Here is a 17,159-nt window from a genome sequence, read left to right as displayed (position 1 = left end):
ATCCCAGCACTTTGGGAGGCCAAGGTGGGTGGATCACCTGAGGTCAGGAGTTCGAGACCAGCCTGGCCAAAATGGCGAAACCTCGTCTCTATTAAAAATACAAAAATTAGCTGAGTGTGGTGGCGCATGCCTGTAATCCCAACTACTCAGGAGGCTGAGGCAGGAGAATCGCTTGAACCCAGGAGGCGGAGGTTGCAGTGAGCCGAGATCAAGCAACTGCACTCCAGCCTGGGTGACAGAGTGAGACTCCCATCTTGGAAAAAAAAAAAAAGAAAAAAGTTCAACTAAAATGTAGAACTTGGCCAGGCACAGTGGCTCACGCCTGTAATCCCAGCACTTTGGGAGGCCGAGATGGACGGATTGCCTGAGGTCAGGAGTTCGACCAGCCTGGCTGACACATACTGAAACCCTGTCTCTACTAAAAAAATACAAAAATTAGCTGGGCATGGTGGCGCATGCCTGTGGTCTCAGCTATTTGGGAAGCTGAGGCAGGAGAATCACTTGAACCCAGGAGGCAGAGGTTGCAGTGAGGTGAGATTGTGCCACTGCACTCCAGCCTGCGCGACAGAACAAGACTCCATCTCTCAAAAAAGATAAATAAATAAAAAATGAAAAATAAAATGTAGAAGTTTTTCTTTTCTTTCATGGTTTCTCCACCATGTTTTATATTTGCTATTTCATGTCATGTTCCTTTGGACATGGGGATGCTCATAGGGTGAATGCAGACCCCAATAGGGGCCTGTGTGTTCCCACCAGCTGGTTCCCAGGTTGCCCCTCCCACCAACTGCCAGACTGATGTGCTGAGCCCAGCTGGGGGCAGGGAAGGCAATCTTCGCTTCCCAGTAGAACACTGTCCCACCTCCTGATAGATAGTGACCCTCAAGGGATTGCAGCTTCTGTGCCAGGTAGTGTTCAGAATCTGGGTCAGGGGCGGGAGGCGCCTGCTAGGCTGCCTGCCAAATGTGTAGTGGTAGGACCACACCTGGTGGGCTTGGAGGAGTCCCACCCTGACCTTCCTGGCCCCACCCCAAGGTGGAGGGTCACAACAGGAGCTGGGTGGGGGTGAGAGAGGGGAGGCTGCCCCAGGTAGCAGTAGGGAGTGGGGTGGGGTCGGAGGGAAGTGGCAGAACACAGTGGAGCAAGTGGCTGGAACCGCCCCCCTTCCCGGGTAGGGAGGAAGTAAGAGGCTGGACCACGCAGGAGCAGAGGTCTCAAGCTCCATCGTCACATTGGACTTCACATACAAAACACAAACTCAAAGATAAAATGATGAAGAATTTCAAAACAGAGATCACAGAGCATTCAACCCCAAGTATAGGCGCTTTCTGAGCATGGAATGGGGTTCCTGTGTGACTAGCTGGCCTCATGGTCATAAAGCCCACCCTGCCCCTCTCACCACACAAAATAAGATGCTTTTTTTTTTTTTTTTTTGAGAAGGCGTCTTGCTCTGTTGCCCAGGCTGGAGTGCAATGGCGCAATCTCGGCTCACTGCAACTTCCGCCTCCCGGGTTCAAGCGATTCTCCTGTCTCAGCCTCCCAAGTAGCTGGGATTACAGGCATCCACCACCATGCCTGGCTAATTTTTTTGTATTTTTAGTAGAGATGAGGTTTCACCATGTTGGCCAGGCTAGTTTTGAACTCCTGATCTCAAGTGATCTACCCACCTAGGCCACCCAAAGTGCTAGGATTACAGGTGTGAGCCACCGCGCCCTGCCGATAAGATGTTTTAAATAGGGATCTCAGCCCTACCAAAGCCCTTGGTGGGGCAGGGGGAGGTGGGCACATCATTCCCATTTCACAGATAAGAAAACTGCAGATACATTAGCCAGTTTGCTAATACATAGAGTCAAACAGCTAATAGGATAAAGAGATGGAAATCAAAGTCTATAGCTGAATAACAATAATAAAAAAAAAATTAGCTGGGTGTGGTGACGCACCTGTAGTCCTAGCTACTCAAAAGGCTGAAGAGGGAGGATCACCTGAGCCTCAGGAGGATGAGGCTGCAGTGAGCCGTGATTGCGCCACTGCAATCCAGCCTGGGTGGAAAACAAACAAAACAAAACAAAATAAAACAAAACAAAGGCTGGGCATGGTAGCTCACGCCTGTAATCCCAGCACTTTGGGAGGCCAAGGCAGGTGGATCACGAGGTCAAGAGATCAAGGTAATCCTGGCCAACATGGTGAAACCCCGTCTCTACTAAAAATACAAAAATTAGCTGGGCGTGGTAGTGCATGCCTGTAGTCCCAGCTACTTGGGAGGCTGAGGCGGAAGAATTGCTTGAACCCAGGAGGCGGAAGTTGCAGTGAGCAGAGATTGCGACACTGCACTCCAGCCTGGTGACAGAACGAGACTCCATCTCAAACAAAACCAAACAGAAAACAAGTCTATAGCTGGTTGTGCAGCTGTAGTCCCTGCTACACCTGATGCTGAGGCAGGAGGGTCCCTTGAGCCCAGGAGTTTGACGCCAGTCTAGGCAACATAGTGCAACCTTGTTTCTATTTTTTTTTTTTTTAAGATGAGTTTTGCTCTCGTTGCCCATGCTGGAGTGCAGTGGCATGATCTTGGCTCACTGCAACCTCCGCCTCGGGGTTCAAGTGATTCTCCTGCCTCAGCCTCCTGAGTAGCTGGGATTACAGGTGCCTGCCACCACGCCTGGCTAATTTTTTGCATTTTTAGTAGAGACGGGGTTTCACCATGTTGGCCAGGCTAGTCTTGAACTCCTGACCTCAGATGATCCACCCGCCTCGGCCTCCCACAGTGCTGGGAGTACAGGTGTGAGCCACTGTGCCTGGCCCCTCTATTTTTTTTTTTTTTTTTGGGTAGCACTACCTTTTAAATAAGTCAGATTCCAAAGCTTGTGCCTATTCTGTGATGCCTATGTGAGGCTGAGAGAAGGCAATGCACACAACGAAGTTGGGGTAGAGGTGGAGCTAGTTGCTGCAGAAGTGGTCCTCGAGCTGGGATCTAAAGCATGGAAGGGTATTTCCAACAGAGGAAATGGCAGGAGCTGCTTCACCAAGCTGCTCTGGGTCTAACACCCTGCAAGCGTAAAAGGAGCCAGTCCTGGGACAAGAAGAATCAGACAACGCTGGTGTGAAATAGGAGAGAAGCACAGAGGCAGAGTTTCAACAGGAAGGGCATACCCTTTACCAAATGCCACAAAGGGCATTGAGGCCTGGGCTTGGGACACCCTCCTGGGATTTACTGGGGGCCTTGGAGGGTGGTTTCCGTGGGAAGAAGAGGCATTCTGGGGATGGCTGTGGAAGGCCAACTGTCACGGCTTAATGCAGGGGTGGGTGAGAAAATTCAGCCCGAGCCTAGACCATTTTTTAGGTTAATTTGGCCCTAAAGGGGAGGAATTAGGGTACCAAGTACAAGGGGCACATTGGTGTTTTTTTCTTCAAGACCCAGTCGACTTGTCCATGTAGGGCAGAAAGCAGTGAGTCAGGGAGAGGTTGGGGAGAGGGGGAGGAGCCGCGCTTTCTGCGCTCCTACTGTGTGCTAGGGACTGTGCTTTCCAGTTTTGTTTCCTCCCAGCAAGGCTTGAAGGCAAGTGTTTCCTACTTGACCTGAGGGAGAGGCCAAGAATCACAGGGATGAGGGGCAGGCTGGGGTTTGGTCTCCCAGCTGTCTGACTCCAGAGTCCAGGCCAGCCCCTCTGTGCAGAAGAGAGAGGAGGGATTGGGCTTATCAAGGAGAAAATGCATGTTCTCCTCAGGAGCTGGATGAAGGGGTGGCCTGCCCCTCCACACCTGTGGGTGTTTCTCGTCGGTTGGGATGAGAGACTGAGAAAAGAAAGAGACACAGAGACAAAGTATAGAGAAAGAAAAGTGGGCCCAGGGGACCGGCGCTCAGCATACAGAGGACCACGCTGGCATAGGTCTCTGAGTTCCCTCAGTATTTATTGATCATTATCTCTACCATCTCGGAGAGGGGGATGTGGCAGGACAATAGGGTAATAGTGGGGAGAGGGTCAGCAGGAAAACATGTGAACAAATGTCTCTGTGTCATAAACAAGGTTAAGAAAAAGGTGCTGTGCTTTGATGTGCACATACATAAACATCTCGGTGCATTAAAGAGCAGTATTGCTGCCAGCATGTCTCACCTCCAGCCGTAAGGCGGTTTTCTCCTATATCAGTAGATGGAATAATACAATCGGGTTTTACACCGAGACATTCCATTGCCCAGGCACATGCAGGAGACAGATGCCTTCCTCTTATCTCAACTGCAAAGAGGCCTTCCTCTTACTAATTCTCCTCAGCACAGACCCTTTAAAGGGTGTCGGGCTGGGGGACGGTCGGGTCTTTCCCTTCCCACAAGGCCATATCTCAGGCTATCACATGGGGAGAAACCTTGGACAATACCTGGCTTTCCTAGGCAGAGGTCCCTGCGGCCTTCCGCAGTGTTTTGTGTCCCTGGATACTTGAGATTAGGGAGTGGTGATGACTTTTAACAAGCATGCTGCCTTCAAGCATTTGTTTAACAAAGCACATCCTGCATAGCCCTAAATCCATTAAACCTTGAGTCGACACAGCACATGTTTCTGTGAGCACAGGGTTGGGGGTAGGGTTACAGATTAACAGCATCTCAAGGCAGAAGAATTTTTCTTAGTACAGAACAAAATGGAGTCTCTTATGTCTACTTCTTTGTACATAGACACAGTAACAGTCTGATCTCTCTTTCTTTTCCCCACACTGCTAAAGTAGGAATATGGCATAATAGGGCTCCTATTGAAGGTGGGTCTTCAGCCCTGAGGTGTTTCCAGGGCTCAGAGCAAGTGAGTCTTCCCCCTCCCACCCCCAAGTGTTCAGGTTTATTGAGGCCATGAGGAGCTACAAGGAAGCCTTGAGTGTCTGGGATATAGCCTGACATCAGCCTGGACAGTGGCCCAGATGAGGTCTCCACCATTTGGGTTTACTTGAAATGTGACTCTCAGCTTCACCTCGCCCAAAGCTTTTGGGCCTGAACACAGCGAAATAGCAGAGGTGGTTGCAATAGGGCTTGCCTTCATGCTCCGGGTGGCCCTTGGAGGTCGGTGTCTTTCCACACTTCCACACTTGAGGCAAGGTCAATGCCAGTCCTTGCCCTGGGAGGTCACCTGTTCAGCAAAGACCATTTTATTTATTTATTTTTTTGAGACACAGCCTTGCTCTGTCCCCAAGGCTGGAGTGCAGTGGCGTGATCTCAGCTCACTGCAACCTCCGTCTCCCGGGTTCAAGCAATTCTCCTGCTTCAGCCTCCCGAGTAGCTGGGACTACAGGTGTGTGCCACTATGCCCGGCTAATTTTTGCATTTTTAGTAGAGACAGGGTTTCGCCATGTTGGCCAGGGTGCTCTTGAACTCCTGACCTCAGGTGATTCACCCGCCTTGGCCTCCCAAAGTGCTGGGATTACAGGCATGAGCCACCTCACCCAGCCAAGTACACCTTCTTGTTGCACTTAGAGCGCTTGGGGATGGCAGCACTGGGTCCGGTGCAGGCAGCTGTGGCTGCAGCAGGAGTGGACTATTAGTGCGAGACTCACATGTGAATTGTGAGGGAATGCTGTGGGCAACCTTCCTCTAGAGGTGAGCCATGGAGGTGGTGGGGGAGGTGGTGGGCCACCGTGCCCGGCTCATGCATGTAATCCCAGCACTTTGGGAGGCCGAGGCCGGTGGATCACGAGGTCAGGAGTTTGAGACCATCCTTGCCAACATGATGAAACCCCGTGTCTACGAAAAATCCAAAAAAAAAAAAAAATTAGCTGGGTGTGGTGGCATGTGCCTGTAATCCCAGCTACTCGGGAGGGTGAGGCAGGAAAATCGCTTGAACCAGGGAGTCGGAGGTTGCAGTGAGCCGAGATGGCGCCATTGCACTCCAGACTAGCGACAGAGCGAGACTCCGTCTCAAAAAAAAAAAAAAAAAGATTACAAGCAATTGCAATGTGGCAAGGAATAACCTGTTTGGACATAATTTCACACCTTTACAAGTATATCTGTAGGATAAATTCCCAGGAGAAGAATTTCTAGCACAAAATATACATGCATTTATAATTTTGATATTGCCAAATTACCTTCCATAGAGATTGTTCCAATTTTTTTTTTTTTGAGACGGAGTCTCGCTCTGTCACCCAGGCTGGAGTGCAATAGCACAATCTCAGCTCACTGCAATCTCCGCCTCCCGGGATCAAGCGATTCTTCCGCCTCAGCCTCCCGAGTAACTGGGATTACAGGCACCTGCCATCATGCCTGGCTTTTTTTTTTTTTTGGTATTTTTGTAGAGATGGGATTTCACCATGTTGGCCAGGCTGGTCTTGAATTCCAGACCTCAGGTGATCCACCCACCTCGGCCTCCCAAGGTGCTGGGATTACAGGCGTGAGCCACCATGCCTGGCCGATTGTTCCAATGTATATGCACCCCAGTAATTTATGAGAGAGCCCAGGTCTTAATTTTTAATTGTTTTCCAAGATGGCTGTACTAGGCTTTCCTGCAAATGACACCATAGCATATATTGTGGTTGCCACCCCAGCAACCAGGCCCTCACCCTCCATCATGGGCTGCCCATTATGGCATGAGGGGGATTGACACTGGGCCAGGTATCTTTTGCCCCTCTAGGATTCCCCTTCATCATTCTCTCCATGCCGTCTGCCCCAGGAAGGCGATCTCCAACCTCAGAGACCTGCTTGCTGTTTCCCAAACTTATGCTAATCACACCTCTATGCCTTTGCCCATACTGTTCCCACCTCTTGCCCTGCACTCCTTCCCTTCTCAGTCTGGAACATTCTGAAGTTGTCCTCACAGGATTAACAAGAATTTTGGACAAAAATATATTAATAGTTATAATTAAGCATTACTTAGGCTGCACTTTGACCCACTTTCTTGTAACTGAAAATTACAGGGCACTAGATACTGACCATTTGCATCCCCATTGTTCCTACAGATAGGTTTTTTTTTTTTTTTTTGACAAGGTCTCACTCTGTCACCCAGGCTGGAGTGCAGTGGTACAATCATGGCTCACTGCAGTCTTGACCTCCCACACTCAAGCAATCCTCCCGCCTCAACTTCCTGAGTAGCCCAGTCTACAGGTGTAGGCTACCACACCTCGCTAATTTTTAAATTTTTTTGTAGAGACAGGGGTCTCCCTATGTTGCCCAGAATGGTCTTGAACTCTTGGGCTAAGAGGTCCTCCCACCTCAGCCTCCCAAAGTGCTAGGATTACAAGTGTGAGCCGCCACCACACCTGGCCTATAGATCAGCTTTCTGATGCTAGAATAATAAGCCTTTTATTTAAGATAGGTAGAATCTCTGACATTAGAATCATAAGGTTTTTGTTTAAGAATTTCTTAAGATGTTTTTTAGATCCTGAATTCCAGCAAGACAGCTGACCTCAAATAGTCTGAAGACCCACTGACCCCTACAGAGGAATGGAATCAGCATGAGAATACAGTTTCTTCATCTCCCTGTTCCATGACTTTGCCCTGTGCCCTTTGAGCAATCAAGGATCTCCACACTTTGGCTGATTCCCAAACCCCTGAAAACCCTAGCCCCAAACTCTGTGGAGACGGATTTGAGGTTTCCTCCCATCTCCTGGTTCAGCATCCCTAGAAATAAACCTCTTTCACTGCTGCAATGTGGTGAATTGACTTGCCACGTGCACCGGATAAAGGACCTATTATGGTTACAATTCCACTCATCCTTTAAGATAGCTTATATGTTGTCTCTGGTCACTGCCTCCCTCCTCTTGGTGCCCCTCGCACAGTTATCCATGAGAGCACATTTGCGTCACCTGCTGGGGCAACTGTTTGTTTACATGGCTCTGTCTCTCCCAGCACCCAGCCCAGGCCAGCCCCACACTTCAAAGTCCCTGCAGGGCAGGATGGCATGGAAAGGTCACAGGTTTGGGAGTCAGACTGAATATGACTCCACCCTCTGTCCTCAGCCTCATCTGCTCCCCCAGTTTTCTGTGCTCTAACCACACTGGCCTGCACTCCTGTCTCACTTCATGGCCCTTATACATGCTGTTCCAACTGCTTAGAATGCTCTTCCTCTGGCTCTTTTTCATCCTTTCGTGCCCAGCTTAACTATCACCTCCTGAGACAGGCCTTCCTTGACTACTGAATCTAAAGGCACACCCTCTTCCCATTCTGTCATTCTCCAGCAATTCCCTTCATTGATTTGCCACAACCCTAATTATCATATTATTCATTTACTTGTTTGCTGCTTGTCTCCCCTGCTAGAGCTTAAAGTCCTTGAGTACATACAGGGACTTTGCCTTGTTTACTGCTATAGGCCCAGCTCTAACACAGGGCCTGGCATATATTAAGTATTAAAAAAATTTAATTTTAGCTTTTTTTTTTTTTTTGTGAACGGAGTTTCGCTCTTGTTGCCCAGGCTGGAGTGCAATGGCACGATCTCGACTCACCGCAACCTCTGCCTCCCGGGTTCAAGCGATTCTCCTGCCTCAGCCTCCCTAGTAGCTGGGATTACAGGCATGTGCCTCCATATCTGGATAATTTTGTACTTTTAGCAGAGATGGGGTTTCTCCATGTTGGTCAGGCTAGTCTCGAACTCCCGAACTCAGGTGATCCACCCGCCTCGGCCTCCCAAAGTCCTGGGATTACAGGCATGAGCCACTGCAAGCGGCCAATTTTAGCTTTTTTCAGACAAGCTGGAGTGCAGTGGCATGATCATAGCTGACTGCAGCCTCTAATTCCTGGGCTCAGCTGATCCTCCTGCCTCAGCCTCCCAGGAAGCTAGAACTACAGGAATGTGCCACCACCCCTGGCTAATTTTAAAAATTTTTGATAGAAATGGAGTCTCACGATGTAGTCCAGGCTGGTCTCAAACTCCTGGTCTCAAGTGGTTCTCTCACTTTGGCCTCCTGAATTGCTGGGATTACAGGTGTGAGCCACCAGTCCACCAAGAAATTTTTATTAACTGAATGAGGAATGAACAAACAAAATAGATCCAAATCCTTGCTCCACTACTTACCACCAGATTTGTGTCTTAGGACAAATTACTTACCCTCTCCTCATGTGAAGATGAGGCCTCTCATGGGTTGTGTATTGGAAACTGTAAAAATGCCTGATACGTGAAGACATTCCATAAATGGCCGTTATTTTTTCTTTCCTTCATCTGAAAAATGTACCCTTTTTGCCAAGCATAAAGACCTTACTGTACATCTTTACTTTTTCTTTTCTTTTTTGTTTTTTGAGATGGAGTCTCGCTCTGTAGCCCAGGCTGGAGTACAGTGGTGTGATCTTGGCTCACTGCAAGCCCCGCCTCCTGGGTTCACGCCATTCTCCTGCCTCAGCCTCCGGAGTAGCTGGGACTACAGGCATCCGCCACCACGCCCAGCTAATTTTTTGTATTTTGTTTAGTAGAGACGGGGTTTCACTGTGTTAGCCAGGATGGTCTCGATCTCCTGACCTCATGATCCACCCGCCTCGGCCTCCCAAAGTGCTGGGATTACAGGCGTGAGCCACCATGCCTGGCCAACGGTACATCTTTTTTTTTTTTTTTTTTTTTTGAGACAGGGTCTCCCTCTGTCGCCCAGGCTGGAGTGCAGTGGCACAATCTTGGCTCACTGCAACCTCCAACTCCCCGGTTCAAGCAATTCTTGTGCCTCAGCCTACAGAGTAGCTGGGACTACAAGCATGCGCCACCATGCCCAGCTAATTTTTGTATTTTTAGTAGAGATGGGATTTTGTCATGTTGGCCAGGCTGGTCTTAAACTCCTGACCTCAGATGATCTGCCTGCCTCAGCCTCCCAAAGTGTTGGGATTACAAGCGTGAGCCACTGCGCCCGGCCTATTTTCCTCCTCTGATCTGACATCATGGGCATGTCTATTCTTCCTTCAAACCATTTCAGACTCATTCCTTCCTCCTATTACTCTTCTGAGACCTTTCCTAATAACTTTAGCACACTTGACCTCTCCTACCACCAAACCAGAGGTATCTAAAGTAGGGGATATGCAACCCAGCATGTAACACACATGTTTTAGCACACACGATGCCCAAAAAATGGAAACAGCCCAAATGTCCACCAACAGATGAATGGATAAACAAAATGTGGCATAAACTTACAATGGGATATTATTCAGCCATGAAAATGAATAAAGTACTGACACATGCTACCATGTGGATGAACCTTGAAAACATTATGCCAGGTGAAAGAAGTCAGTCACAAAAGGCCACATATTGTGTGAGTCCATTTTTATGTAATATCCAGAATAGAAAAATCCATAGTGACAGAATGCATATTGGTGATTGCCAGACGTTCAGGGGATGGGGAAGAAACTGCTTGATGGGTAAGGGGTTTTACTTTGGAGTAATGGAAATGTTTTGGAACTAGGGGTGGTGGCTGTAAAAGACTGAATGTACTAAATGCCACTAAATGTTCAGTTTAAAATGGTTCATTTCACCTCAATAAATTTTTTAAAAAATGAAGTAGCCATTCTTCCAGGTGAGCTGAAAAGTTTGAATGAGGCACAGGCTCCTTAAATTTCTTTTTTTTTTTTTTTTTTTTTTTTGAGACGGAGTCTCGCTCTGTCGCCCAGGCTGGAGTGCAGTGGCGCGATCTCGGCTCACTGCAAGCTCCGCCTCCCGGGTTCACGCCATTCTCCTGCCTCAGCCTCCCGAGTAGCTGGGACTACAGGCGCCCGCCACTACGCCCGGCTAATTTTTTGTATTTTTAGTAGAGACGGGGTTTCACCGTGTTAGCCGGGATGGTCTCGATCTCCTGACCTCGTGATCCGCCCGCCTCGGCCTCCCAAAGTGCTGGGATTACAGGCGTGAGCCACCTTAAATTTCTAAGATGTAAAGTGCTGGGCAAATATCAGCTGGGGATGCTGAAGGAAGGAATAATCAGAAGGTCAGCAAGTGTGGCTTCGAAACTCTGCCTCAAGTAATAATGATAATGATAATTAGAGATAGTTATAATATTGACTTCTTTGGTTTCCTTGTAAACCAGTGTTATTTTAGAAAAAGAGGGAGATAGCTCTAGTAATTACAGCTAACACTTCTACAATGCTTAATATGAGGAAGGCACTGTTCCAAGTACTTTACGTCTAAAACTTACTAAATCCTTACAACTCTAAGAGGTAGTATCATCACATTTCCATTATAGATGAGGGAATGGAAGAATTGAGAAGTTTAAATGAGTTCTCCAAGTCACAGATAAGGAAATGGCAGAGTCCAAATTTGAACCCAGGCAAGTCAGACTCTAGGCACTGAAGTCTCAACCACCAGGCTCTGCACTAAGTGCTCTCCAGGTTTTATCTCATTTAATCCTGCAAGGAAAGTGTTATTATTCCCATTTTATTTTATTTATTATTTATTTATTTATTTATTGAGACGGAGTTTCACCCTTGTTGCCCAAGCCAAAGTGCAATGGCACAATCTCCGCTCGCTGCAACTTCTGCCTCCCAGGTTCAAGCAGTTCTCCTGCCTCAGCCTCCCGAGTAGCTGAGATTACAGGCCACCATGCCCGGCTAATTTTGTATTTTTAGTAGACATGGGGTTTCTCCATGTTGGTCAGGCTGGTCTCGAACTCCCAACCTCAGGTGATCTGCCTGCCTCAGCTTCCCAAAGTGCTGGGATTACAGGCATGAGCCACCGTGCCTGGCCTATTATTCCCATTTTAAAAATCCCCCTCATGCTATCCACATTCCACACCTTCTAGTCTTTCTTTTTTTTTTTTTTTTTTTTGAGACGGAGTTTCGCTCTGTCGCCCAGGCAGACGGAGTGCAGTGGCGCCATCTTGGCTCACTGTAAGCTCTGCCTCCTGGGTTCACGCCATTCTCCTGCCTCAGCCTTCCGAGTAGCCGGGACTACAGGCACCCGCCACCACACCCGGCTAATTTTTTGTATTTTTAGTAGAGATGGGATTTCACCGTGTTAGCCAGGATGGTCTCGATCTCCTGACCTCGTGATCCGCCTGCCTTGGCCTCCCAAAGTGCTGGGATTACAGGCGTGAGCCACCGCGCCCGGCTTTTTTAAAAATTTTTTTATTTTTTTTATTTTTAGTAGAGACCGGGTTTCACCGTGTTAGCCAGGAGGGTCTCTATTTCTTGACCTTGTGATCTGCCTGCCTCGGCCTCCCAAAGGGCTGGGATTACAAGCGTGAGCGACCGCGCCTGGCCAGTCTTTCTCCTACATTTATTTTTACGTTGGTCCACATACTCCTGTCATTCTCACTTTGCTTCACTTTTCCTTTCTTCTTCTTTTTTAAGAGACGGGGGCTTGCTATGTTGTCCAGGCTGGAGTGCAGTGAGGCAATCATAGCTTATGCCATCCCCAACTCCAAGTGATCCTCCAGCCTCAGCCTCCTCCCTAGCTGGATTACAGGAGCATGTCACCATGCACACTAATTTTCTTTTCTTTTTTTTTTTTGGTAGAGATGGGGTCTCATGTTGCTCAGGCTGGTCTTCAACATCTGGGCTGAAGTGACCCCCCTTCCTTGGCCTCTCAAAGTGCTGGGATTAGAGGCTTTGGCCACCACATCCAACCTGAATTTTATTATTTATATTTTCTTTTAATCTCCCATTACTAGATGGCAGGGATTTTGATTACTGTTAATTTTCCAATATCCAAAATAATGTGTGGTACCTAATAGGCTCTCAATATCGAAAAGTAATAGTGCACATGGCATTCTGTAGTATTAGGTAGGTATCTTGTGTTCCTGTGTTTGCGTAAATAAGATCATACATTATGTTCTGCTTTTTTAACTTAATGGCTTTTTTTTTCCTTTTTTTGCGACAGAGTCTGGCTCTGTCACCTAGGCTGGAGTGCAGTGGCGCTATCTCGGCTCACTGCAACCTCTGCCTACTGGGTTCAAGTGATTCTCCTGCCTCAGCCTCCTGAGTAGCTGGGATTACAGACGCGCACCACCACACCTGGCCAATTTTTTTTTTTTTTTTTTTAGGCGGAGTCTCACTCTGTTGTCCAGGCTGGAGTGCAGTGGCGCGATCTCAGCTCACTGCAAGCTCCGCCTCCCGGGTTCATGCCATTCTCCTGCCTCAGCCTCCTGAGTAGCTGGGACTACAGGGGCCCGCCACCACACCCGGCTAATCTTTTGTATTTTTAGTAGAGACGGGGTTTTACTGTGTTAGCCAGGATGGTCTCGATCTCCTGACTTCGTGATCTGCCCGCCTCGGCCTCCCAAAGTGCTGGGATTACATGTGTGAGCCACCGCACCCGGCCTATTTGTTTTGTATTTTTTAGCAGAGACAGGTTTCACCATGTTGGCCAGGCTGGTCTCAAACTCATGACCTCAAGTGATCTGCCCGCCTCGGCCTCCCAAAGTGCTGGGATTACAGGCGTGAGCCACCACGCCCAGCCATGTCTTTTTTTTTTTTTTTTTTGAGACAAGAGTTTCGCTCTTGTTGCCCAGGCTGGAGTGCAATGACGCGATTTCGGCTCACCGCAATCTCCGCCTCCTGGGTACAAGCAATTCTCCTGCCTTAGCCTCCCGAGTAGATGGGATGACAGGCATGCACCACCATGCCCAGCTAATTTGGTATTTTTATTTTTTTATATTTATTTATTTTTTCGAGACGGAGTCTCGCTCTGTCGCCCAGGCTGGAGTGTAATGGTGCGATCTGGGCTCACTGCAACCTCTGCCTCCCGGGTTCAAGCGATTCTCCTGTCTCAGCCTCCTGAGTAGCTGGGATTACAGGCGCCCGCCACCACGCCCGGCTAATTTTTGTATTTTTAGTAGAGACGGGGTTTCTCCATGTTGGTCAGGCTGGTCTCGAACTCCCGACCTCAGGTGATCCGCCTGCCTCGGCCTTCCAAAGTGCTGGGATTACAGGAGTAATCCCAAAAAAAGCGCCGGGCCCTTTTTTTGTTGTTTTTTAAATTCAGTAACTATCTAGTTCATTCTTGGATGGATGACAACCCAGATTGGATGTGTAGCAGCGTTCTCTTAACCAGTTTCCTATTAATCTTCATTTCATCCCCAGTGTTTCTCCAGAATGCAAATAATATGGCATTAAATATCTTCACACATAGCTTTTTGTGTATGTGTATACTTATTTCTCTAGAATTAGTGTCTAGAAGTGAAACTGCCGGGAGGAAGGATATATACTTTTAACATGTCCAAGTTCCACTGTGATAGCGCTGCGAGGGCACACAACAGGTTTCAATATACCTTGGACCAAACCGGATATTATCAGTTTTTTTAACTTGTTGCTAATGTGATGGGGGAAAAATGAACTCGGAATTTACACACAAGGAAAAGACCGTTTAAGGTTCAGGGACTGTCCACATAGCTGTCAAGTGGCGGAGCCGTGATTTGGTATTAAAGTGCCCGGAGAGGACGCGTCAAAGTTGGACACTGTGCCCTGTGTCCTGAGGCACGTCTGGTGATCGCTGGGCCTTGCAATGCTGGGCAGGCAGGCCTTCCTCTCCCCTTCTAGGCCTCTGGCCACTCCTGGCTGGCCGAAAGCCGGTTCTTCTCGATTACCGAGTGCCTCTCCTGAAAGCAAGTCAGCGTCGCCTAACCTCTTCAGCTTCGAAATGGCGGCCACCAGATCGCTAGGCCACGCCCCGGGGGCGGGGCCTGAGTTCAGGCCAGAGCGATGGATGCCCGAGCCAAGTTAGAAGTCGACTGCCAGTAGGGCTCGCGCAGAATCGGAGAGCCGGTGGCGTCGCAGGTCGGGAGGACGAGCACCGAGTCGAGGGCTCGCTCGTCTGGGCCGCCCGAGAGTCTTAATCGCGGGCGCTTGGGCCGCCATCTTAGATGGCGGGAGTAAGAGGAAAACGATTGTGAGGCGGGAACGGCTTTCTGCTGCCTTTTTTGGGCCCCGAAAAGGGTCAGCTGGCCGGGCTTTGGGGCGCGTGCCCTGAGGCGCGGAGCGCGTTTGCTACGATGCGGGGGCTGCTCGGGGCTCCGTCCCCTGGGCTGGGGACGCGCCGAATGTGACCGCCTCCCGCTCCCTCACCCGCCGCGGGGAGGAGGAGCGGGCGAGAAGCTGCCGCCGAACGACAGGACGTTGGGGCGGCCTGGCTCCCTCAGGTAGGTGGCAGGACCGGGTCGTGGATGCCGGGGGAGCCGGGCGGCGGGGCTGAGGGATCGGCTTCCAGGGCGACCGGGCCTGGGTGGCGCTGATGGAGCGGCCCCGCGGCTGCCGGGCAGAGGGCTTGGGCCAGGCCGTTGTCACCCTGGGGTAGCGTTGGGCGGGGGCCCCGGAGTCCGGTGTCATGGCCGGCGAGCCGAGTTCCCACATCCCACTCAAATTTCCTTGTGTTTGGCGGAAACGTGCCAACGCCACCCTTATGCCATGCGCATTCCTCATATTTGGCAGTGGGAAAATCCGCCCAGAGCTGCCCCATATCTGTTGTCACTTGGATGGGCCAATTCCTTTTCTCTTGGGCCGCCGAATGTGGGACCCGGGCTTGCACCCTTTCTCAGGGTACTTCAGTCAAGTGACACCCTTTTAGAGACGACGTGAGGAATCGGGTAAGAGAGGAGGAAACTGGCCAGTGCCCTACCACAAAGGCACAGGGGCCTCTTCTTGGGTATCAGGACTAGCCTTGGGTATCAGGACTCTGGGTTATTAATGAAAGGTTTGGGATACTTATAGAGGATTGGCCTCAGGACGCTTTGGAATGAAGAGCCAGGGCTGTCTTTTGTGTGACGCGAGAGCCGCCGGGACGCTTCAGCTCTGCAGCTGCTGAGGCTCTGCGAGCGAGTCGATGCCCAAGAGAGAGGGGTTTGGACGTCGTGAGAGGCGAGGCGGCCGTGTTCATTCATTGTTCTCGTTCTAGGGCTCTGGGTGTGCCCCTGGTATTCATTCTGTGGTGGGAAGAAGGAATGGAACTTAGTGTATCCTTGAGATGTGAACGGGTTCTAGGGGGTCACTTAATCTAAGTGGAAAATGAATTCAAGGCACGTTCATTGAGCGTTTCTGCTTGCCTGGTCCTCTGTGGGCTGAGTGGAGAGACTCTGCCCTCCCTGCGCTCCTAAGGCGTGAAAACAATGCAGTGTGATAAGAATTGGCTTATCAAGTGTTATGGGGATTTAGAACAGTTAGTTTTGCTTGGGGAGGAGTTGAGGAAGCTTCTACACTCGAGGAGACTTCTGAGTCGAGTTTTGAAACACCTGTGAGTAAGTGCTCATCGGGTGAGGAGGAGCTCAGGGAACAGCTGGTACAAAGGCTTAGAGCCATGTGGGAGTTGGGATGAGTTTGGGGAGCAGCAAATTGCCTGGGGTGCAGGAAGGAAATGGTGAGAGATGAGAGTAAAATAAAAGTTGCTAGAATTGTGAGGGGGCTGTCTTTGTTGTAGATAGTGAACTAGTTGAATTTGGATTATTGTACATGGGTTGCCGAGTCTTCATTCTTGCTGATAATTTTCTCCCTTTGTTGATGTTGAAGCTGATAGTGATTGAACATATTTAGTTTAACTTAGTTAATGACTTTTAAATTTTTTTTTATTTTTTCAGAACAATGCAAACTTTTTTTTTTTTTTTTTTTTTTTTTTTTTTTTTTAAAGGAACAGGATCTCACTCTGTCGCCCAGGCTAGAGTGCAGTGGCATGATCATAGCTCGGTTGCAGCCTCTAACTCCTGGGCTTAAGCAGTTCTCCTGCCTTTGCCTCCTGAGTAGCTGGGACTACAGACAGGTGCCACCACACATGGCTAATTAAAAAAAAAATAGTAGAGATGGAGTCTGGCAGTGTTGCCTAGGCTGGTCTCAAACTCCTGGGCTCAGGCGATCCTCCTGCTTCCACCTCTCCCTCCCAACGTGCTTGCTGGGATTACAGGGGTGAGCCACTGGCCAGGCAGAACTTTTTTTTTTTTTAAATAATAGAGAGGGGGTCACACTATGTTGGCCAGGCTGGTCTTGAACTCTTGGGCTCAAGTGATCCTCCAGCTTCAGCCTCTTAAAGTGCTGAAATTACAGGTGTGATCCACTGTGCCTGGCTAGCAGAACATTTTTGATAAGTGTTTTATATCAAATGTTTTGACTTACACAGTGGTGAATGAATTGAACTCATATATTCCTGGGGATTCTTGCAAAAAATTCTCTTAAAGTTATACTTGCTCACAAAAATGTTAACTTTATAAATGTAGAACACTCTCCTACTAATTTTTATTTTATTATTCTATTGTTTTTTATTTTTTTGCGACGGAGTCTCACTCTGTTGCCCAGGCTGGCGTGCAATGATGCGATCTCG

The 17,159-nt window shown here is 49.1% G+C and overlaps 1 protein-coding gene and 1 pseudogene across 14 annotated transcripts in view, besides 9 other annotated features; one reads left to right on the top strand and one right to left on the bottom strand.

Annotated features, from left to right (window-relative positions):
* Positions 4,065-4,934: an enhancer, noted in NCBI's record as "NANOG-H3K27ac-H3K4me1 hESC enhancer chr3:12715375-12716244 (GRCh37/hg19 assembly coordinates)". NCBI's record gives its function as "activates a minimal SCP1, AML or CMV promoter by ChIP-STARR-seq in naive and primed H9 embryonic stem cells {active_cell/tissue: H9 hESC(naive and primed)}" and the evidence as "EXISTENCE:reporter gene assay evidence [ECO:0000049][PMID:30033119]".
* CRIP1P1 (cysteine rich protein 1 pseudogene 1) lies at positions 4,927-5,111 on the bottom strand (annotated as a pseudogene).
* Positions 7,255-7,835: an enhancer, noted in NCBI's record as "H3K27ac-H3K4me1 hESC enhancer chr3:12712474-12713054 (GRCh37/hg19 assembly coordinates)". NCBI's record gives its function as "activates a minimal SCP1, AML or CMV promoter by ChIP-STARR-seq in primed H9 embryonic stem cells {active_cell/tissue: H9 hESC(primed)}" and the evidence as "EXISTENCE:reporter gene assay evidence [ECO:0000049][PMID:30033119]".
* Positions 7,836-8,417: an enhancer, noted in NCBI's record as "H3K27ac-H3K4me1 hESC enhancer chr3:12711892-12712473 (GRCh37/hg19 assembly coordinates)". NCBI's record gives its function as "activates a minimal SCP1, AML or CMV promoter by ChIP-STARR-seq in primed H9 embryonic stem cells {active_cell/tissue: H9 hESC(primed)}" and the evidence as "EXISTENCE:reporter gene assay evidence [ECO:0000049][PMID:30033119]".
* Positions 14,318-14,387: an enhancer, noted in NCBI's record as "active region_19449". NCBI's record gives its function as "activates an Ori minimal core promoter by ATAC-STARR-seq in GM12878 lymphoblastoid cells {active_cell/tissue: GM12878}" and the evidence as "EXISTENCE:reporter gene assay evidence [ECO:0000049][PMID:35858748]".
* Positions 14,389-15,000: an enhancer, noted in NCBI's record as "NANOG-H3K27ac-H3K4me1 hESC enhancer chr3:12705309-12705920 (GRCh37/hg19 assembly coordinates)". NCBI's record gives its function as "activates a minimal SCP1, AML or CMV promoter by ChIP-STARR-seq in naive H9 embryonic stem cells {active_cell/tissue: H9 hESC(naive)}" and the evidence as "EXISTENCE:reporter gene assay evidence [ECO:0000049][PMID:30033119]".
* Positions 14,428-14,777: an enhancer, noted in NCBI's record as "active region_19448". NCBI's record gives its function as "activates an Ori minimal core promoter by ATAC-STARR-seq in GM12878 lymphoblastoid cells {active_cell/tissue: GM12878}" and the evidence as "EXISTENCE:reporter gene assay evidence [ECO:0000049][PMID:35858748]".
* Positions 14,693-17,159, top strand: part of RAF1 (Raf-1 proto-oncogene, serine/threonine kinase) — an 80,517-nt gene continuing 78,050 nt past the window's right edge. For 12 of the 14 annotated variants that reach the window (NR_148942.3, NR_148941.3, NR_148940.3 and 9 more), the window contains exon 1: positions 14,693-14,997. The gene's annotated coding sequence lies outside the window, so the exon portion shown is untranslated. Of the gene's footprint in view, positions 14,998-15,301; positions 15,442-16,013; positions 16,086-17,159 lie in introns of those variants that run through there. The other 2 variants (NM_001354690.3, XM_047448649.1) reach the window with 2 other exon arrangements.
* Positions 14,968-15,187: a silencer, noted in NCBI's record as "silent region_14066". NCBI's record gives its function as "represses an Ori minimal core promoter by ATAC-STARR-seq in GM12878 lymphoblastoid cells {active_cell/tissue: GM12878}" and the evidence as "EXISTENCE:reporter gene assay evidence [ECO:0000049][PMID:35858748]".
* Positions 14,968-15,611: a biological region, named in NCBI's record as "NANOG-H3K27ac-H3K4me1 hESC enhancer GRCh37_chr3:12704698-12705308".
* Positions 15,001-15,611: an enhancer, noted in NCBI's record as "NANOG-H3K27ac-H3K4me1 hESC enhancer chr3:12704698-12705308 (GRCh37/hg19 assembly coordinates)". NCBI's record gives its function as "activates a minimal SCP1, AML or CMV promoter by ChIP-STARR-seq in primed H9 embryonic stem cells {active_cell/tissue: H9 hESC(primed)}" and the evidence as "EXISTENCE:reporter gene assay evidence [ECO:0000049][PMID:30033119]".

This window comes from Homo sapiens, chromosome 3 (assembly GCF_000001405.40).
Source record: "Homo sapiens chromosome 3, GRCh38.p14 Primary Assembly".
Lineage (NCBI taxonomy): Eukaryota > Metazoa > Chordata > Mammalia > Primates > Hominidae > Homo > Homo sapiens.
The sequence above is the reverse complement of the archived record's forward strand: the minus strand, read 5'-3'. Positions and strand labels throughout refer to the sequence as shown.